Source organism: Homo sapiens, chromosome 1, assembly GCF_000001405.40.
Source record: "Homo sapiens chromosome 1, GRCh38.p14 Primary Assembly".
NCBI classification, from domain to species: domain Eukaryota; kingdom Metazoa; phylum Chordata; class Mammalia; order Primates; family Hominidae; genus Homo; species Homo sapiens.
In genome coordinates this window covers 231,826,405-231,848,971 of record NC_000001.11, presented here as the reverse complement: position 1 = coordinate 231,848,971, position 22,567 = coordinate 231,826,405, and the positions used below count along the sequence as shown (strand labels likewise).

General features: G+C 43.9%; 1 protein-coding gene and 2 long non-coding RNA genes across 15 annotated transcripts in view, besides 1 other annotated feature; 1 reads left to right on the top strand and 2 right to left on the bottom strand.

Annotated features, from left to right (window-relative positions):
* The window catches only part of TSNAX-DISC1 (TSNAX-DISC1 readthrough (NMD candidate)), a 512,620-nt gene that overhangs the window by 192,301 nt on the left and 297,752 nt on the right, over positions 1–22,567 (bottom strand). The window lies entirely within an intron of this gene.
* Positions 1–22,567, bottom strand: part of DISC1 (DISC1 scaffold protein) — a 414,483-nt gene that overhangs the window by 192,301 nt on the left and 199,615 nt on the right. The gene's annotated exons all lie outside the window — the stretch shown is intronic.
* Positions 1,269–22,567, top strand: part of LOC105373170 (uncharacterized) — a 42,129-nt gene continuing 20,830 nt past the window's right edge. For all 3 annotated transcript variants that reach the window (XR_949268.4, XR_949269.3, XR_007066940.1), the window contains exon 1: positions 1,269–1,453. This is a non-coding gene — a long non-coding RNA (uncharacterized LOC105373170). The remainder of the gene's footprint in view (positions 1,454–22,567) is intronic.
* Positions 17,103–17,613: an enhancer, noted in NCBI's record as "NANOG hESC enhancer chr1:231967105-231967615 (GRCh37/hg19 assembly coordinates)". NCBI's record gives its function as "activates a minimal SCP1, AML or CMV promoter by ChIP-STARR-seq in primed H9 embryonic stem cells {active_cell/tissue: H9 hESC(primed)}" and the evidence as "EXISTENCE:reporter gene assay evidence [ECO:0000049][PMID:30033119]".

The window sequence follows — 22,567 nt, the reverse complement described above, 5'->3', positions numbered from 1 at the left end:
TTGTCTTTTAAATATTCACTCATTTATTCGTTGTTTCACTGCAAACATTTACAGTAAGGCCTCTATGTGCAAGACACTGCAGAGTATGAATATAATGTAATCCCTGCATCATGGGATATGATCTAATGGCATAGTTTGATACTGCCCAAAACTTGATCCAAGACATCAGGCATAATATGCAAGGGACAGGGAAGAAAGGGGGCATTAACACCCATCTCCAATTCACCTATGCACAAAAACTGAAGATCACTGAGGTTAAGTAACTGGCTGAAAGTTGCATGTGTTATTTTTTGGACAAACTGAGAAGTGATCGGGGTCTTTTGATGACTAGTCAACTCACAAGATTATCTTTGACCAAGTAGATAGACCATCCTGGACACATCCTAGAGCCTTGCTACACAAAGGAGAGGTGAGAACAGCAGCAATACCATCACCTGGAAACTCATTAGAAATGCAGATTCTCAGGCTACCCAGGACCTCCTGAATCACACCTGGCATTTTAACTAGCTTTCCAGATGGTTCAGATGGATGTTGAAGTTTGAGAAGCACCACCCTAGAGGAACTTCAAAAGACTGTCAGTTCTTGTCATTTAAATATTCGCTCATTTATTCACTGTTTTTCACTCAGCAAACATTTATAGTAAGGCTTCTATGTGCAAACACTGCAGGGTATGAATACAGTATAATCCCTGCATCATGGGATGCAGTCTAGTGGCGCAGTTTGATGCTGCCCCAAACTTGATCCAAGACACCAAACCTGTTATGCAAGGGACAGGGAAGAAAGGCGGCATTGATACGCGTCTCCAAGTTCTCCAAGTCACTGTGTACAAAAATACCATCTGCTTGTTAAAACAATCAAAGTCACAGACAGGCCTGGAGTCAGACCAGCCCTGTTTCTCTCTTTGCCCAGGGAAGGGACCTCAGGCAAACTGCCTCCTTTTGATGAATCCCACCTAAAAAAATAAAGTCTTGGACTTCAGGAACATCCAGATTCTTCCCAGCAGCTCTCTTCATTTCTTCCTAACTCTTCTGGTTTTATTCATTCACTTGGCAAATATTTGAGTGACACTATCTGCTGGGGATTGCTTCAGTGCTGGGGACATTGGTGACAAGATAAATGAGGCCCTATCAGCCAGCAATAAGTACCACACTGAGCACTGAGACAGGGTAATGAGATCTGGCATTGCTGGGTGGCTGCTTTCCATTGGATGGTCAGGGAGGCTTCTTGGAGGAACAGGATTTAACTTGAGGCCAAAACGGCACAAGGGTAGAGCCATATAAAACTAAGGAGAAACCATTTTAGGATGAGGGAACAAACCCTGAAGGTGTGAACAAGCTCGGTGCATCTAGACATGTAAGGAAGGTTCCAGCATGTGAAGGAGCGAGGACGGAGAAGGGTCCGGTGAGGTCTTACAGCAACAGAGGGTCCAGCCACATGAGGCTGAGCAGCCAAGGTAACTTTCTGGATTATTTTCTGTGTGTGACCAGAAGAGTGCTAGGCAAGGATCTGATTTTAAATTCTCTTCTTATAAAATGAGGTATGGAATAGGCTGCTATGGACTGAACTGTGTCCTCCCCCAAAACTTATATGTTGAATCCCTAATCCCTGGTACTTCAGAATGTGACTTTTTGGAGACACGGTCTTTAGAGAGGTGATAACATTGAAACGAGGTCAAGAGGTTGAGCCCTAAACCAGTCTGATCGGCATCCCTATGAGGAGAGGAGATGAGGACACAGACACACACAAAGGGAAGGCCATGTGAGGGAGGACGCAGGGAGAAGACAGCCATCCGCAAGCCAAGCAGAGAGGCTTAGGGAGAGACCATTTGTGCTGACACCTTGATCTCGAACTTCCAGCCTTCAGAGTTGGGAGAAAATAAACATCTGTTGTCCAAGCCACTCAGTCTGTGGTTTTCTGTGGCAGTAGGCCTAGCAAACTAATGTAAATTTAAGAACAATGATCTTTATAATAACAGAGAAAACAGCAAATTCTCCTGTACTTCTCTAATTGGTACATGTTCTTATAAATGCTGGCTTAGCCTTTATAACTCTCTCCAAATCTTAAACTGGACTTAAAAGTCCTTCAAGCTAGTGATCTAAACTCTAGTTCTGCCCAATCCCAGAGTCTTTTTTCAACAGTTCCTGAACTAATCACAGGCAAATACCTGAGTTTCCTTATCACGTTATCCTGCCTGAGTTTCTTTCAGCTAAGAAACATAAAACAACAAAACTCATGCTGTTTCTTCTGGTTTCAGTTAAAAGCCTCCGCCACTTTAGTTACTATGTTGCCTTAAATTCTAAGATGCACTGTCTTTTTTGTTTTTCAACATTTAAAAAGTAAAGATGCGATTTGGAACTGGCGTGTCCCTGCACCGTGAGTGTCTACCTGCCTTTGTCAAACCCAGGATGCATCAGACAATCACTGGCATTGTAGAAGCAAGAGAATGCGACGATTTTCTGTTCCTTTTGAAAAGGTCGCTGAAAAGCTAGGACAGAGACTCTTTTTCCACCTTTAACTTTGGCAGTTATGTAGTGGCAGAAATTATAGAAAAAGTATAGCTCTCACTTAGGAAGGCCAGGGTCCAAATCCCTGGATGGCTATGAAGATGCTGCCCGCATTCCAAGGCAGACAGTGTCTTCGCAGTTGTCCCGTCCTGTGGGCCCCTCCATGGGCTTTGCCCTACTGCCTGGATCCTCCATCACTGGTTAGCAAGCTCTGCATGCCCAGCTCCTTCTGAAAGCTGCCTCCTCCTCTCTGCCCTAACAGTGACCTGGTCATCCCTGGAGGGTCTCATGGCATCTGCAGCCACTCGAGTGTGGATGCTCACTCCCCACCCCTACCCAAGCAGTCAGTGTCCTCCCACGTCCCTAACGTGGCTCTACCTTCAGGTATAATCTGTTGCTGCTTGAAGGCTCAGGGCATTCAGCTTCACCCCAAGCTGTCCTTCTCATTGCTCTCATCTGGGACATCCCCCTTCTCTGGGGGCCTTGATCCTGGACCTCCACCTCCTCCCCACCCCGAGCCCTGCCGCCATCCTTGCATCACCAGGCCGACACCTGGGCTTCTGGGTCCTTGGTCTCACCATCCCACCTCACTTCACCTTGGCTTCATCTGCACCCAAACTGAGCCACCAAGCTCCCAGCCACCTTGCCACTACTTTTCCCACACCCTAGTTATTTCTGCCCCTGTTCCACGACCACATCCAGCCACCCACCCCTCAACCTATCACTTTCCCTCCTTTACCAGCCTCCAGTGTAGACATAGCCATCCATCACTTCACTCACCTTCCTGCCACTCCGTTCGGCTCCCGAACCCAGTTGCCTTTCTCCTCTACCTGCCTGGAAACCCCCAGCCTGGCGTGCTCGCTGTTGCCATTCCCTCTCCCTGAAGCAGGCTGCTGAGCACAGCTGGGGAAAATGCATGATCTCAGGGACACTGTCCCCAGAAGTCACTGGGCCACCTTCCAAATGGGCACCAAATCCACCTGGCAATTCTGTGTTCCCCGTGCCAGGTCTCCCCACCTTCAAGGCACCACAGCAGACCTTTCCCCACTCTCCTCAAACCTCCCCCCGCCGGCCTTCCTCCCATTCACTCACTCACTTGCTCACTCATGTATTCATTCAAAAATGTTTGTGGAGACCACAGCCAAACCCGGTCCAGAGCTGGCACCAGGATGTGGCTCAGTCATTCATCACCCTTCTCTGCTTTCTCTTTGTAAACCAAAAACAAAATTCTAAGTTCCTCAACCATGTAAATGGACTTCCTGCCAGGCCAGAGAACTCTAAAATTTAACCAGAAAGACTGGCTCAGGCTATGACGGGAAGTAGGGTTGAACATGCCTCAATATAACCTCCGGTATTAACATCAACACAGACCTTACATCTGATAATAAATATTTACAATCTAGTCTCTCTGAAGCCTGCCACCTGGAGGCTTCAGCTGCATGAGAAAACTTTGGTCTGCACAACCCCTTATCGAAACCCAGACATTCCTTCTTATTGATAATAACTCTTCTTTTTCTTTTTTTTCTTTTTTTTTTTTTTTTGAGTCAGAGTCTTGCTCTGTCGCCCAGGCTGGAGTGCAATGGCACAGTTTCAGCTCACTGCAAGCTCCGCCTCCCAGGTTCATGCCATTCTCCTGCCTCAGCCTCCCGAGTAGCTGGGACTACAGGCGCCCACCACAATGTCCGGCTAATTTTTTTTGTATTTTTAGTAGAGACGGGGTTTCACGTGTTAGCCAGGATGGTCTTGATCTCCTGACCTCGTGATCCACCCCCGTCGGCCTCCCAAAATGCTGGGTATTGATAATAACTCTTTTGACCAATTGCCAATCAGAAAATTTTTAAACCTTCCTATAACCTGGAAGCCTCCCTGCCCGCCCAACTTGCTTCAAGTTGTCCTGCCTTTCTGGACCAAACCAATGTATTTCTTAAATGTATTTGATTGATGTCTCATGTCTCCCTAAAATGTATAAAACCAAGCTCCATGAAAACCCTAAACCACAGGGTTCAGAGAGCTTCTGGACTGGTGAGGCCATGGCAGTGCTGGGAGGTGGCGCACCTGGAGGGGGCATGGAAGCTCTGCGCCACCCCCATACCTTGTCCTATGCATCTCTTCCATGTGGCTGTTCCTGAGTTGTATCCTCTACAATAAACCTGTACACATAAGTAAAGTGTTTTCCTGAGTTCTGTGAGCCACTCTAGCAAATTATCAAATCTGAAAGGAAGAGGGGCTGTGAAAACCATGGGCTCTGCACACAAGTCAAACAGAGCTAAATGGAATTCCGGGACAACCAGTTGATATCCAAAGAGTTAGTGTGTCCCTAAAGGCAGGGGAACCCCACAAACAAAAACAATCCGTGCTCCTCACACACTCCTGCCGGTCCTCCCTCATCCCTGACCACAGTCTCTCATGCTTCTTTGTGGCTCCTTGTCCTCTGCCTGTCCCCTAAAGATTAATGTTCTTTAGGATACTCCTTTGCACCATCTTGTCTCTGCACTGGCTTTTCCCATGCACTCTCATCTATCTGCACGGCTCTAATTATAATCCATATGCTGAGAACAGCCAAAGCCCTGCCGTCAGTCAGCTCTCCTTCCTCAGCTTTGCAACCAGCTCTCCACTGAACATCTCCACCTGGATGTCACTCAGAAACTGCAAACTCAACTGGCTCAAAGGAGACATACAATCTCTTCCAAATCTGCTGTTCTTATGGCCTTGATTCTAATGAATACCCCCCACCGGTGGTCCAGGCCAGAAAGCTAAGCTTCTATCTTATCTCCTCCCTCATGACCACCTGCACCTCCTGCCTCTAAGCATCCACTCTCAAGTCCTGTTGGTTCTCACTGCTGAACAACTTTGTAACGTATCCCCTCCTCTTCGTTCTCACAGCTGCTCTCCTGTCACCTTCCTCTCTCCTGCCACTGGCCTCCCTGCAGGGGGATGGCCCTCGTGCCCAGTGTGGAGTGGATTCTCTCTCCATTCTGCAGCTGGACCCAGTGTGGCCTTTTTTTCATCCCCCCAATGCAAATCTTATCAGATCACTCCCTGCTTAAATCTGTCCAAGTGCCTCCTATTGCTCTTAGGACCATTTCCAAGCTCCTTAAGTGGTACACAAGCCCACCTGGCCCCTGCCTAATTCTGGAGCTGAAGCTCTCCCCACTCCTCCACCCCACTGAACAACGCAGCCCCACTAAACTTCTTGCGGTCCCCATAAGGAAGCTTTTCTCTATCACCTCTCATGCTTGTTCTTTCTTCTGCCTCAAATGGGCTTTCCATACTTTTCTCCATTTTAACTTTTACATATCCTGAGTAGCAGCTTAGATGTCATCTCTTCCAGAAATCTTTCCTGGCTTTTCATACCCCCCCATCATACACTTATCTGACTGTACTGCCGTTGTCTGTTTTCTGGTGGTGTCTCCCAGTGGGCTCTAGCATTCTAGAGGACCAGGATGGTACTGTTAGGCTCAGCACATGTAACCAGCTGCAGACACAGCCCGGCACGTAGTGGCTCACTATAAAAATTAGTTGAAAGCAAGGACAGATTTACCATGAATCTAATGGCACATAAGCCTCAGGGTCTCCCGCTGTCACAAGTCTCCTTCAAACCCTGTATCCAAATTTGAATCATAATCCTATATATTTTTTTCTTTAAATAAGACCCATACTCAAATTATGTAAGCTCCAGTCCTCACAAAACCTGGACCCACCATTGGTTACATAAATGAATGAGGGGGAAAGTGAGGCTCACAGAAGTGAAACAGCCACCCCATCTCATGTCCCTCTGATGTGGCACAAGAGGATCTGAATTCACGTGTCTGACACAGCTCACACTCCATCCAGTGTGCATAACAAGCAAATCAGCTCATCACTCCTAGCCTCAGCTTCCTCATTTAGGAAGGAATATGTTTGCTGCATGGGATGTCATAAGGAATAACTCAAATAATATCTCCAAAGTACCTACATAGGAGTTGGCAAATGAATGATTCTGAAATATCAGACTGTTGGATAAATAATACTTTGAAATACCATACTCCACAAGTCTCACTCAGTTCTCAAGTTCAATATCCATTGAAATGGAGTTCTAACTCAGCAAACCTTTACTAAGCCCCTATTCTATGCAAGGATTACAGGAACTGGGGGCAGAAAACTAATAGCCTCGAAAAGGCTGGGCGCAATGGCTCACGTAATCCCAGCACTTTGGGAGACTGAGGTGAGAGGACTGGTGAGAGGATTGCTTGAGACCAGAAGTTCAAGGCCAGCCTGGGCAACAGAGAGAGATCCTATCTCTACAAAAATAAATGTTTTAAAAATTAGCCAGGCATGGTGGTGCATGCCTGTAGTCCCAGATGCTTGGGAGCCTGACATGGGAGGATCAAAGCCCAGTAGTGTGAGGATGCAGTGAGTCATGGTTGCACCACTGGACTCCAGCCTGGGCAACAACACAAGACCCTCTCTTAAAAAAATAAAAATAAAAAACAACGAGAAAAACTGGCACAGAGGCTAGGGAAATAGATATTTAAACAAATAATTACAAAGTATGCAAAAAGAATTAAATATCTTCATCGTTTTTACTGTTTTCTAACCTTAACATTTTGCTCTTTTTGTGTGTGTGTCTAAGGAATTATCTCTTGCCCTCTTGTCTGAGGTTGACTATGTAGTTGATTAACAGTTATTAATAATTAACAATTCTACTCAGCCATAGAGCAGCCTTTGGTTACAACCTGAGTGATTTTTAAGGAGACTAAGTTAAAGCTGTGAATTGAACAAAAACTGAATAAGATTTTTATGGGTGTCACCACACAAACCCTCTAGGAAGGTAATAGTTCCTTGAAAAGAAGCCAAATTTAACTTAGCCAACAGTACAAGTTAAGAGGTCAGAAAATATTCAGTAGGCAACTCCCTCTCTGATACTAAGCATTTAGAACATTTGCACATTTGTAAAAGTTGCACCAGCATGATGCACAGAGCAACCACACTGACCAATGAGCTGGATAAACTGAGGTACAGCCTGTACAAGAGCCTGAGAAAGATCTACCACCCACTCTGTGACTCCTTGAGGGGTGACTCGCAATGCTGTGGAAATTCAGGGTCTGGGGAGTGTGCACACCTGGCTTGTGCCAGGCTTTGCCCCCTGGAAGGTATGTAGGTTTGGGCCAAACCTCACAAAGCCTCTGCTTAGTCAATAATAATAATAGTAGTAGATAATAATGCACTAATAGAGATCCAGGTTGAGTATCCCTTATCTGAAATGCTTAGGACCAAAAGTGTTGTGGATTTCAGATTTTTTTCAGCTTTTGGAAGATCTGCATAATTACCTGTGGAGAATCTCTAATTTGAAAATGCAAAATCCGAAATGCTTCTATGAGCTTTTCCTTTGAGCATCATGTCAGGCCTCAAAATTAGTTTCAGATTTTGGAGCATTCCAGATTTTGGATTTTCAGATTAGGAATGTTCGACCTGTAATAATAACATCAACCTCATAGAGAGGATTAATGAGATAAGACAGGTAAAGCACGTGGTAAATGAGCTATATGTCTTCAAGTTTTTAAAATTTTTTAAAAATTTACACGCAGTAAAATTCACTTGTTGTACAGTTCTATGGGCTGTAACTTGTAACCATCACCACAAACAGGATACAGAACAATCCCAAGGCCCCTAAAGAATTCCCTTGGGCTGAGGCGGAGCTTGCAGTGAGCTGAGATCGCGCCACTGCACTCCAGCCTGGGTGACAGAGCGAGACTCCGTCTCAAAAAACAACAACAACAAAAAAAAAAAAACAAATAAAAACAAAACCAAGAATTCCCTTGGGCTGTTAATTTCTAATCAGACCCTTCCCCAGCCCCTCTCCCAATTCCTAAACCCTGCCCTTAGAGGTCTCTTTTCCAGAGCATCGTATGAATAGGATGCTACAGCTGTAGCCTTTTGAGACCGGTTTCTTTCACTCAGTACAATGCATTTGAGATGCAGCCAGGTTGTTGTGTATATTGATAGTTTGTTCCTTATTACTGAGTCGTGTTCCACTATGTGAAGGTACCATAGTTTGTTATTCTATCCACTCAGTGAAGGACATTTGACTTGTTTTCAGTTTTAGGCAATTATGAATAAAGCTGCTATAAATATTCATTACAGTTTTGTGGGATATAAATTTTTATTTCTAGAGGATAAATAAGTACCCAGGAGTGGAATTGCCAGGTCACATGGCAAGTGTAATGTTTAACTCCATAAGCCACTGGCACTGTCTTCCAGATGGCTCTACTCTTACAACCCCACCTGCGATACTGACACATCCCACCAGAGATGTATGAGCAATTGGCCTGCTCCACCTTCTTGGCAGCACTTGGTGTTGTCAGTATTTTTTATCTTAGCTATAATAGGTGTGCAATGTTTGGGTTTTTTTGAGGTAGAACATTTATATGAGACTGTGTTTAATCATCGACTTTTGATATAGTTTAGATGTTTGCCCCCTCCAAATCTCATGTTGAAATGTGATTCCTCAATGTTGGAGGTGGGGCCTTGTGGGAGGTGCTGGTGTCATGGGGGCGAGTCCCTTATGCATGGCTTGGTGCCCTTTCTGTGGTAATGAGTTCACACAAGATCCGGTTGTTTAAAAAGAGCCTGGCACCTCCACCTCGCCTCTTGCTCCCTCTCTCGCCATGTGACACGCTGGCTGGCTCCCCTGCCCTTTCCACCATGATTGTAAGCTTCCTGAGGCCTTGCCAGAAGCAGATGGCAGCACTATATTTCATGTACAGCCTGCAGAACTATAAGCCAAATAAACTTATTTTCTTTACAAATTACCCTGTCTCAGGTATTCCTTGATAGCAATGCAAACAGACTAACACAACTGTAATACAAGAATGTTCAGGAGCAGTGGAGGATACAGAAACCAAGTTATTTTAATGGCTAGCCACGACCTTTCAGAAATCTTGAAAACCCCAGCCTGGTGAAAAGGTATCTCATGGTTTGGCTCTGTCCACTTCTCCAGCCTCATCTCCTATCATTCTCACTCTTACACCCTTCAGTCCAGCCAGATCAATAATCACATAAACTAATATTTATTGAGTCCTTATGATACGCTAGGGCACTAAGCCAAGATTGTTACATGTATTATTACTTTATCTACTCATGGTCCTAAGAGGTCAATATTAGTAGTAGTAGTATTTCTACTTTACGTGGGAGGAAACATACTCAGAGTGATTAGCAAACTTTCCCAAAGTTACACAGCTGCTAAGTGGTAGGGCTGGGATTGGATCCCTGTCTCCTAGATGTGCCACGTTCCTCCGACCTCTGAGTCTGTGCTCTCCTCTTCCCTAAAACAACACTATTTCTGCCCCTTCCATCCCCAAGCCACGGTGCATGCCCTGCCTCCTCTGTGAGGCTCTCCCTGGCTCCTCGAAGGCATCCTTGGTTGTCCTTATCTCTGCTGTCTTGATACCTATTGTTTATTGCTTCATTTCATCCTTCAACACATCGTGCCCTATTTGCTGTGTACATGTGCCTCCTCCACCAGTGACTGCAAAGCTCTCGAGGTCAGGAATCACATCTTGTCACCCTTCCACTCCCCAGTGCCTATTACAGTAGCTGGCACCTGAGAGGCGCTCAACATGTGTTGTAGGAGTTGAGGAACAGCTAAGGCTTCTGAATGAGAGGCCAGGCGGTGACAAGGGTCCACTGCCGCACAGGTGTTTTAAATATAAGCTCACAGTCCTACAAAATGCATCCATACAACGAGCAAAAATGTAGAAGCAAAAGAAGGGCCTTACACAAACTTACATGTAACTCTTGATATAGACTCTCAGATATCCATCCCTATCAATAACAAACAGAACGTGAGATATAATGCAAGATGACGACAGGGACATTCACCCAATGTTAACAGCTTTAGGCCAAAGGGCAAAAAACGAGAGTGGAAGAGAGAAGAAAGGAGTCCTTTTCTATATTCTTGCTACAGTTGTTCTCCTTCCTATTTACATAAGCATGGAGGGGGTTTTTTTCTCCGCTTATGTGTCACAGGGCTATTACAACTGTTTATTCCTCCCTTAGTCTATCACTCTCAATAAAGAGGATCATTTTTAATATTAAAAAATAACAAATTCATTTGCCTGGAAAGTTCCTTGAGGAACATGGAGTCATCCTTTCCTCTGGAAAACCTGAACACAAACCATTCCAGATAGATGGGTGCTTAAGCAACCGGAACACAGTTCAAACACAAAGTCCAGGAAGAGGCAGCTCTCTGCAGTGTCTGCATCCCATGAATATATGTTAAATTCATAGATTAATTTTTTAAATTAAAGCATCTGAATAGTACGAAATATTAACAGTCAAATGCTTCACGGGCCACATGTTCTTCTCCAGTATTCTCCCAAGTGAGAAATTTCAAAACTGTAGAGACCATGGCTGTGCATTAATGAATCCAGGACTTTTTATCTATCTTTCTTATCTATTGATAAATGTTTGCAAACTCTAAAGGCTTGAATACAGAAGTTTAGCCTGTCTTAGAGAAAAAATGCCTCTTAAAGAAAAAAAAGGCATAAATGAAAGGGCATTCATACAAAGAAGTATATTAATATTTCAATTGTGGCAACGAAATTTGCCATTCCCAAACCAGATTAGGAACTATTTTTTTCCAGCATCAGTTCCCATGACCCACATCCACAATGGCATGCTTCAGTTTCCCAGGAATTACCTGCTTTGATTCTAATGTAGGTTTATCCCTCTACAAGTTCCATAAGAAAACATTACTTGTGCCACCTCCTCACCTCCTCCCTTTCATTTCACCTTCGCCCCATCATTTCTTCAAGGTTCACATGTAGAGAGTTAAATACAATAACAGTTTCCATACTTTCATGCAGATAATAAGTTTTTCGAGTGAAGCAGAAAAAAAATATATAGATCAGAAATACACCAGTGTCTTAATGACAAATTTCTTTATTCAGTGCTTTGGGGACCTCATCATGTAATGCTTCATGGAAGAGGGTGACTTCATATAATTTAATCAATGAAAAGACAGAGGAGAATTTGCTTTAGAAACTTCTATGCCCATATATCATGTAAAGGCAAACAATAGGCTTGTTCCGTGTTTGGTAATTAGTTGTAAACAGCTACACTTTGGGATAAAAAATATCATGTCTCCCCTTGAATTTGCATACAAGTGCCTTAACACATTTCACGGTGACAGCCACGAGCTGGTTTATATACCTAATGGAGCCTGGCAAGACAGGATGACCTTTCTAATTGTCATTATGAGAAGCACAATTGCAAGTGACTTTGAAACATATGGTAAACTTCATTATGCTAAAATATAAAAGCTTCTACTTTGGGGCTCACGATTAATATTAATGTCAGACCTCCTGAGAAAAAAATGTACTCTAAATTTTATATTGTATAAAACCTTCTCAATACTAAAGAGAGCATTTATTTATAGTCTTCAGTCTTCTTCATAGATGCTATTAAATATTACATTAGATGTGGCAAAATAGAATGAATAATCCTGAAACATTAAGGGAAGGATAATGATTACCTTCCCAGCATCAGGTCAAGTGCCATGCAGAGTGGGAACAGAGAGACTGACTACAAATATGGGTCCAAGGAGGACAGAGGATGTGTGTACAGGAAAGTCAGTGGGGCCCGACTCAGATCACACGGGGAGGGGCGGGGCGGGGCTTAGCGCACTTTATCCAGAGCACGCGGACATCCTGGGAAGTTAAGGTGGTCAGAGGAGCTGTCCTGATTAGGCATGGAAGGAATGTAGGAAGTGAATGTGTGGATAGATAAGGGTAGGGGATAGTCCAAAGGTGGAGAGGAGAATGTGAAAGCCAATGGGAGCAGCCAAAAGCCGTGGGAAGACATAGTCGGGCTGGAGGGAGAATGACTCCCAACAGCTGCAACAGGTAGAAAGGTGCCTTCCTGAATCCGAAATCATAGAAATTTCTTATGATTTATGATTACACATCATCAATGGAAAAGGATATTTGCCTTAATATCAAATGCTGTATATCGTTTATGCAGAGAAGGGCAGGGAACTATTGCAAACCCATTTTTCATGCCCCTGATGACAGTTTCAAAGGTCATCCTATCTGGCATCCTTCCAGGACAGGGACGACCTTTCTCTACCATTTCTTTGAACCCCCTCCTTAAACTGCAGCTTCAAGGGCCACAGACACCATCAGGACACTATCCGTTCACCTATGAAATAACAGCACGCCTCTGGAAGGAAAAAAATAGTCCTGTAAGCAGGAGTTGTTTTTATAATGGATCAACTTAAGAAAATGGGAAATAATAAAGAAAAAAACAGCCAAAGACAGTGAAGTACAAAACATGAGATGCATCCTGAAGAAAAATAAGGTCTTGGGTAGGATACTGAGTACTTCTCTCAGTTTCTGTATTTTAACAGTGGAGAAAATGTAAAATAATAGCTTTCACAGATTTACTGAAAAAAGTGAAACTGGTTTATTAAGGTCTCAATTGCGGCAGTTCCCTGAATATCACATTTGTTTGAAAGGCCAGGTCCAATGCATATTAATACACAGAGTGGAAATAGAATGTTTTTACTCAGAAAGATCGGTCTATGTTGTTTAGTACATCATTTGCACCCTAATGCCTTAAGAAGTTTAAAATCCATTCTACGCCGTTATCTCAACATGATATTATTTTTTATACTTTGTTCTTGGTCCACTATTAATCATGATGAGGGGTTAATTTCACAAATACACACACACATACAAATAGGAAAAAATGATTGATAACCATATTATATAAAGAGAAGAAAACCACTAGGTGCCTCCTTCAAAATAAAACCAATAGACAAAGGACATAGACAACACACTGTCAGGCCTCTGAGCCCAAGCTAAGCCATCATATCCCCTGTGACCTGCAAGTACACATCCAGATGGCCAGTTCCTGCCTTAACTGATGACATTCCACCACAAAAGAAGTGAAAATGGCCTGTTCCTGCCTTAACTGATGACATTATCTGGTGAAATTCCTTCTCCTGGCTCATCCTGGCTCAAAAGCTCCCCTACTGAGCACCTTGTGACCCCCACTCCTGCCCGCCAAAGAACAACCCCCCTTTGACTGTAATTTTCCTTTATCTACCCAAATCTTATAAAACAGCGCCACCCCTATCTCCCTTCGCTGACTCTCTTTTCGGACTCAGCCCGCTTGCACCCAGGTGAAATAAACAGCCTTGTTGCTCACACAAAGCCTGTTTAGCGGTCTCTTCACACGGACGCGAGTGAAATTTGGTGCCGTGACTCAGATCGGGGGACCCCCCTTGGGAGATCAATCCCCTGTCCTCCTGCTCTTTGTTCTGTGAGAAAGATCCACCTATGACCTCTGGTCCTCAGAAAGGAACATCTCACCAATTTTAAATCTGGTAAGCGGCCTCTTTTTACTCTCTTCTCCAACCTCTCTCACTATCCCTCAACCTCTTTTTCCTTTCAATCTTGGCGCCACACTTCAATCTCTCCCTTCTCTTAATTTCAGTTCCTTTCCTTTTCTGGTAGAGATGAAGGAGACGCGTTTTATCTGTGGACCCAAAACTCTGGCGCTGTTCACGGACTCGGGAAGACAGTCTTCGCTTGGTGTTTAATCACACGGGGATGTCTGCATGATTATTCACCCACGTTTCAGAGGTGTCTGACCATGCAGGGACGCCTGCCTTGGTCCTTCACCGTTAGTGGCAAGTACAGCTTTTCTAGGGGGCAAGAACCCCCCATCCCTTCTCTCCGTGTCTCTACTCTCTCTTTTCTCTGGGCTTGCCTCCTTCACTATGGGCAAGCTTCTGCCCCCCATTGCCCCCTTCTTCTCCCTTAGCCTGTGTTCTTAAAAACCTAAAACCTATTCAACTTACACCTGACCTAAAACCTAAATGCCTTATTTTCTTCTGCGATGCCGCTTGACCCCAATGCAAACTCGACAGTGGTTCCAAATAGCCAGAAAACGGCACGTTCAATTTTTCCATCCTACAAGATCTAAATAATTCTTGTCATAAAATGGGCAAACGGTCTGAGATGCCTGACGTCCAGACATTCTTTTACACATCGGTCCCTCCCTAGTCTCTGTTCCCAGTACAACTCATCCCAAATCTTCCTTCTTTCCCTCCTGCCTGTCCCCTCAGTCCCAACCCCAAGCGTCGCTAAGTCTTTCTAATCTTCCTTTTCTACAGACCCATCTGACCTCTCCCCTCCTCACCAGGCCAAGCTAGGTCCAAATTCTTCCTCGGCCTCCACTCCTCCACCCTATAATCCTTTTATCACCTCTCCTCCTTACACCCGGTCTGGCTTACAGTTTCGTTCCATGACTAGCCCTCCCCCACCTGCCCAGCAATTTCCTCTTAAAAAGGTGGCTGGAGCTAAAGGCATAGTCAAGGTTAATGCTCCTTTTTCTTTATCCCAAATCAGATAGTGTTTAGGCTCTTTTTCAGCAACTATAAAAACCCAGCCCAGTTCATGGCTCGTTTGGCAGCAACCCTGAGACACTTTACAGCCCTGGACCCTAAAAGGTCAAAAGGCCGTCTTATTCTCAAAATACATTTTATTACCCAATCTGCTCTGGACATTAAATAAAACTCCAAAAATTAAATTCCAGCCCTCAAACCCCACAACAGGACTTCATTAACCGTGCCTTCAAGGTGTACAATAATAGAGTAGAGGCAGCCAAGTAGCAACATATTTCTGAGTTGCAATTCCTTGCCTCCACTGTGAGACAAACCCCAGCCACATCTCCAGCACACAAGAACTTCCAAATGCCTAAACCGCAGTGACCAGGAGTTCCTCCAGGCCTGCCTCCCCCAGGAGCTTGCTACAAGTGCCAGAAATCTGGCCACCAGGCCAAGGAATGCCCGCAGCCCAGGATTCCTCCTAAGCCGCGTCTCATCTGTGCGGGACTCCACTGAAAATCGGACTGTTCAACTCACCTGGCAGCCACTCCCAGAGCCCCTGGAACTCTGGCCCAAGGCTCTCTGACTGACTCCTTCCCAGATCTTCTCAGCTTAGCAGCTGAAGACTGACACTGCCAAATCGCCTTGGAAGCCCCCTAGACCATCATGGATGCCGAGATTTGGGTAACTCTCACAGTGGAGGGTAAGTCCTTCCCCTTCTTAATCAATATGGAGGCTACCCACTCCACATTACCTTCTTTTCAAGGGCCTGTTTCCCTTGCCTCCATAACTGTTGTAGATATTGACGGCCAGGCTTCTAAACCTCTTAAAACTCCCCAACTCTGGTGCCAACTTTGACAATACTCTTTTAAGCACTCCTTTTTAATTGTCCCCACCTGTCCAGTTCCCTTATTAGGCTGAGACACTTTAACTAAATTATCTGCTTCCCTGACTATTCCTGGACTACAGCTGAATCTCATTGCCGCCCTTCTTCCCAATCCAAAGCCTCCTTTGCGTCCTCCTCTTGTATCCCCCCACCTTAACCCACAAGTATAAGATACCTCTACTCCCTCCTTGGTGACCGATCATGCACCCCTTACCATCTCATTAAAACCTAATCACCCTTAGCCTGCTCAATGCCAATATCCCATCCCACAGCACTCTTTAAAATGATTAAAGCCTGTTATCACTCACCTGTTACAGCATGGCCTTTTAAAGCCTATAAACTCTCCTTATAATTCCCCCATTTTACCTGTCCTAGAACCAGACAAGCCTTACAGGTTAGTTCAGGATCTGCGCCTTATCAATGAAATTGTTTTGCCTATCCACCCTGTGGTGCCAAACCCATATACTCTCCTATCCTCAATACCTCCCTCCACAGCCCATTATTCTGTTCTGGATCTCAAACATGCTTTCTTTACTATCCCTTTGCACCCTTCATCCCAGCCTCTCTTCGCTTTCACTTAGACTGACCCTGACACCCATTAGGCTCAGCAAATTACCTGGGCTGTACTGCCACAGGGCTTCACAGACAGCCCCCATTACTTCAGTCAAGTCCAAATTTCATCCTCATCTGTTACCTATCTCGGCATAATTCTCATAAAAACACACATGCTCTCCCTGCTGATCATGTCTGACTAATCTCCCAAACCTCAATCCCTTACAAAACAACAACTCCTTTCCTTCCTAGGCATGGTTAGTGAGGTCAGAATTCTTACACAAGAGCCAGGACCGCACCCTGTAGCCTTTCTGTCCAAACAACTTGACCTTACTGTTTTAGCCTAGCCCTCATGTCTGCGTGCAGCGGCTGCCGCTGCTTTAATACTTTTAGAGGCCCTCAAAATCACAAACTATGCTCAACTCACTCTCTACAGTTCTCATAACTTCCAAAATCTATTTTCTTCCTCACACCTGAGGCATATACTTTCTGCTCCCTGGCTCCTTCAGCTGTGCTCACTCTTTGTTGAGTGTCCCACAATTACCACTGTTCCTGGCATGGACTTCAATCCAGCCTCCCACATTATTCTGGATACCACACCTGACCCTCATGACTGTATCTCTCTGATCCACCTAACATTCACCCCATTTCCCCATATTTCCTTCTTTCCTGTTCCTCACCCTGATCACATTTGGTTTATTGATGGCAGTTCCACCAGGCCTAATCGCCACTCACCAGCAAAGGCAGGCTATGCTATAGTAGCTTCCACATCTATCATCAAGGCTACCACTCTGCCCACCCCCCCCCACTACCTCTCAGAAAGCCGAACTAGTTGCCTTAACTCAAGCCCTCACTCTTGCAAAAGGACGACACGTCAATATTTATACTGACTCTAAATATGCCTTCCATATCATACACCACCATGTGGTCACATGGGCTGAAAGAGGTTTCCTCACTACGCAAGGGTCCTCCATCATTAATGCCTCTAATAAAAACTCTGCTCAAGGCGGCTTTACTTCCAAAGGAAGCTGGAGTCATTCACTGCAAAGGCCATCAAAAGGCGTCAGATCCCATTGCTCTAGGCAACGCTTATGCTGATAAGGTGGCTAGACAAGCAGCTAGCTCTCCAACTTCTGTCCCTCACGGCCAGTTTTTCTCCTTCACATCAGTCATTCCCACCTACTCCCCTGCTGAAACTTCCACCTATCAGTCTCTTCCCACACAAGGCAAATGGTTCTTAGACCAAGGAAAATATCTCCTTGCAGCCTCACAGTCCCATTCTATTCTGTTGTCATTTCATAACCTCTTCCACATAGGTTACAAGCTGCTACCCTGTCTCTTAGAATCTCTCATTTCCTTTCCATCCTGGAAATCTATCCTCCAGGAAATCACTTCTCAGTGTTCCATCTGCTATTCTACTACCCCTTGGGGATTGTTCAGGCCTCCTCCCTTCCCTACACATCAAGCCCGGGGATTTGCCCCTGCCCAGGACTGGCAAATTGACTTTACTCACATGCCCCAAGTCAGAAAATTAAAATACCTCTTAGCCTGGGTAGCCATTTCACTGGATGGGTAGAGGCCTTTCCTACAGGGTCCGAGAAGGCCACTGCAGTCATTTCTTCCCTTCTGTCAGACATAATTCCTCAGTTTAGCCTTCCCACCTCAATACAGTCTGATAACAGACGAGCCTTTATTAGTCAAATCAGCCAAGCAGTTTTTCAGGCTCTTAGTATTCAGTGAAACCTTTATATCCCTTACGGTCCTCCGTCTTCAGGAAAGGTAGAACAGACTAATGGTCTTTTAAAAACACACCTCACCAAGCTCAGCCACCAACTTAAAAAGGACTGGACAATACTTTTACCACTTTCCCTTCTCAGAATTCAGGCCTGTCCTCGGAATGCTACAGGGTACAGCCCATTTGAGCTCCTGTATGGACGCTCCTTTTTATTAGGCCCCAGTCTCATTCCAGACACCAGACCAACTTGGACTGTGCCCCAAAAAACTTGTCATCCCTACTATCTTCTGTCTAGTTATACTCCTATTCACCATTCTCAACTACTCATACATGCCCTGCTCTTGTTTACGCTGCCGGTTTACACTGTTTTTCCAAGCCATCACAGCTGATATCTCCTGGTGCTATCCCCAAACTGCCGCTCTTAACTTTTGAAGTAAATAAATAATCTTTGCTGGCAGGACTATGCTGAATCTCCTTAGGCACTCTCTAATTAGATGTCCTAGGTCCTCCCAATTCTTAGACCTTTAATACCTGTTTTTCTCCTTCTCTTATTCCATTTAGTTTTTCAATTCATACAAAACCATATCCAGGCCATCACCAATAATTCTAAATGACAAATGTTTCTTCTAACAACCGCACAATATCACCCTTTACCACAAAATCTTCCTTCAGCTTAATATCTCCCACTCTAGGTTCCCATGCCGCCCTAATCCCGCTCGAAGCAGCCCTGAGAAACATCGCCCATTATCTCTCCATACCACCTCCAAAACTTTTCACCATCCCAACACTTTACCACCATTTCATTTTATTTTTCTTATTAATATAAGAAGACAGGAATGTCAGGCCTCTGAGCCCAAGCTAAACTATCATATCCCCTGTGACCTGCACGTACACATCCAGATGGCCAGTTCCTGCCTTAACTGATGACATTCCACCACAAAAGAAGTGAAAATGGCCTGTTCCTGCCTTAACAGATGACATTATCTGGTGAAATTCCTTCTCCTGGCTCATCCTGGCTCAAAAGCTCCCCCACTGAGCACCTTGTGACCCCCCCACTCCTGCCCGCCAGAGAACAACCCCCCTTTGACTGTAATTTTCCTTTACCTACCCAAATCTTATAAAACAGCCCCACCCCTATCTCCCTTCGCTGACTCTCTTTTCAGACTCAGCCTGCCTGCACCCAGGTGAAATAAACAGCCTCGTTGCTCACACAAAGCCTGTTTGGTGTCTCTTCACACGGACGTGAGTGAAACACACAATGAAAAAAAGTAGGCCGGGCATGGTGGCTCACTCTGTAATCCCAACACTTTTGGAAGCCACGGCAGGTGGATCACTTGAGCCCAGGAGTTCGAGACCACTCTAGGCAACATGGCATAATCCCGTCTCTACCAAGCCAGGCCATGGTGGCACATGCCTGTACTTCCAGCTACTCGGAAGACTGAGATGGGAGGATTGCTTGAGCCCAGGAGGTGGAGGTTGCAGTGAGCCGAGATAATGCCACTGCACTCCAGCCTAGGTGACAGAGTGAGACCCTGTCTCAAAAAAAACTTATAAAGGCACAAAAAAACAAGTTGAATGTATTAGTCAAAGATATGCAAAAACAAGGCATGAATTAAATACCACTCTGTTATTATACTAATAATCTTTTAAAAAATAATGCTTATTATTAGAAAGGATGGATTGGTAGTATCAATTAAATTGCTATAACCTGCAAATCAATCTGCAGTATGTATGAAGCCATAAAAATGACTGCATTCTTTGGGTCATTAATCCCAATCTTGGCACTTTATCTTCAGAAAAAATTCATGAAATAATCATTAAACACCTCAGAATAAGGAGGTAGTTAAGTAAGTCACAGTATATTGATCCTTGGACTGTTATGTACATAAAAAATAATAAATTGGAATATTATAATGCAACCAGGGACACAGAAGTGTATAATGAAGAGTATGGCTCTGAAGTGAGACAGATGAGTCTCATTCCAGTTCTTTACTTCCCATATACAGAAACTTGAGCCACTCTGTTAATTCACTGAGCCTCAGTTTCACACATTGGTAGATTGGGAATGATAAATTTGTCTCAAACTACAGTTACGAGGATTAACTGGTGCCATGCTCTCACTATTGTCCTATAAGGTTAAGGACAGACAGAGGATGTAAAATTGCATCCTCTTTCTCAGTACAAGTGTGTAAAAAGCTTTCCTGTACTGCAAGCACAGAAGATAATGCAAAAAAATGCAACCAGGGGCTCTGTTATAGAAGTTGCATGATAAACATTTTTCATTCATTTCAAAAATTTTATTTTATGCTAAAGGTATTTTTTGAAATAAATTAAAATTTTATCCTAGAGTAACTCCAGACATTTCATCAGCTTTGACTTCAGAGAATTTCTCTATAATCTTTAGGGGAGAATCACTTCACTTCCAAAGGCTGACAGATTTGCAGGATTCCAGACCACGGGGGAATGTCCGTGTTTGGTGACCTTCTCAGGGCAGACATGAAGTTGGCATCCAGCCACTACTGTTACTCAGTCTCTGAAAACAGTGGAGTTGGGTGAAGGGTATACAAACACTTGCCAAATTCCAATGTATATGTCTCACCCAACAAGATTGGTACATACGAAGCAAAGTAGAATGCTGGATCCAATTCAGAGTTAAAAAGAAGCCCAAGATTTCAGTCACCCTGTCCAAACCAGACAGACCATGCAATCGTAATATAATTGTATTTGGTTCTTTCTTGGGGAAGGAAAATATCAGATTTGGGGAGACTGGAAATGTAAAGCAGTCATAGTAAACATAGGAAAAGAGAGATATTCATAATGGGTTAATACACCAAAAATTAAACATCATTTTGGCAAATAAAATTTGGTTATAATTAAACCAAAAAGCAAAGTGTGTCATCAGTTGTTAATGAGTTATTAAGACTCCAGAAAGCATAATGTCAAAAGAAAAATAAAACGACATTCTATGACTATGCAGGCTTGTGGAATATGAGCATACCTGCCTCATAAATTTTTGATGATGCCAAGTCAGTAAATCCTTAAGCAATTCTTGATGGTTTCTGTACCGGCCATAAATATTAAATTGCAGTGCATTCACTCAGGGTTGTCCACCCCTACAGTGATCCAGCCCTCCCCAGTTACAGAAAAGCCTCAATGGAAAGTGGATTAGACACAGTGGCCATCCCCAAGTCCAAAACATAACAGGACTAAGGGCCCAGGGCAGCAAACACTAGCTCCTCAAAGCAGTCAGGGCAGGAAAACATTCATCAGCATGCTCTCTCTCTTTTATAAGAGCTCAGAGAATCTGAAAAATCAAATTAGCAACAAGTGATGATCTCTCCAGTAAATACCATCTCTCTTGGGTTGTTAACATATGGCAGCTTCAAAGAAAAAGTACACAGCTAAAATGGCAGGAATGTGTACAGGAAGCCATAACTCATGATAATGCCAAGAAGGAAAACAAAATATTTCTTACCAAATTAATCACTGAAAAAACTGTGACCATATAATGAGTCATATTTAGCCAAGTAAAATTAAATTCTGCAAAACCTCACAAAATCAAATTTGGTTTATAAAGAATCAACCTTCATTCCTGAAAATCCTAAATTATATAATAGTTTAAATTTTTTTTATTTATGCTGGGCGCAGTGGCTCATGCCTGTAATCCCAGCCCTTTAGGGGGCCGAGGCAGGTGGATCATGAGGTCAGGAGTTCAAGACCAGCCTGGCCAGGATGGTGAAACCCCGTCTCTACTAAAAATACAAAAATTAGCCAGGCATGGTGGCGGGCGCCTGTAATCCCAGCTATTCGGGAGGCTGAGGCAAAGAATTGCCTGAACCCGGGAGGTGGAGGTTGCAGTGAGCCAAGATCGTGCCACTGCACTCCAGCCTTGGCAATAGACTGAGACTCTGTCTCAAAAAAAAAAAGTTGTTTTATTTAACTAAAGTTCAAAACTCACTCAAAAGAAGCCTAGAAAGATTGACATCACATGTTGCAAATTGAATTCCTTGTAATCAAAAGGATGACAAATTAGTAAATTCTTAAAAGCAAACAGGGCTTCTAACTACTTCTTTACCAGGAACTGAGTAATGTATCAATCTAATAACCAATGCATTTACTTATAGGAATACAAAGGAAAAGATTGCCATTTCAGCATTTTAGAACAGGAAGCAGAACTAGCAACAGTTATTTGAAAATATACAAAAAACTGGTTTGAAGTCAATGAATATGTATCCAATTAAATTGCTATAGTTCAACTTCTCTCTGATTTATGGTAGTATGCCAAGTTTCTCCTAGTCACCCTTCGAAAATAAAGAATTGAGGTTTTAATACAAAAGATATGAGTTTCATAGGGTGATAACCTATAGAACCTCCTACTACTGAGTTAAATTATCCATCTGCTATAGCAACATGGCAGATAGTGGATCATCATCTCAGGCACAAAATATAGGGAGGGTGCTTGAAAACTTCAAAAATGAAAAAAAAATACCCGTCTTTTCAGGATGTTCAACATCATC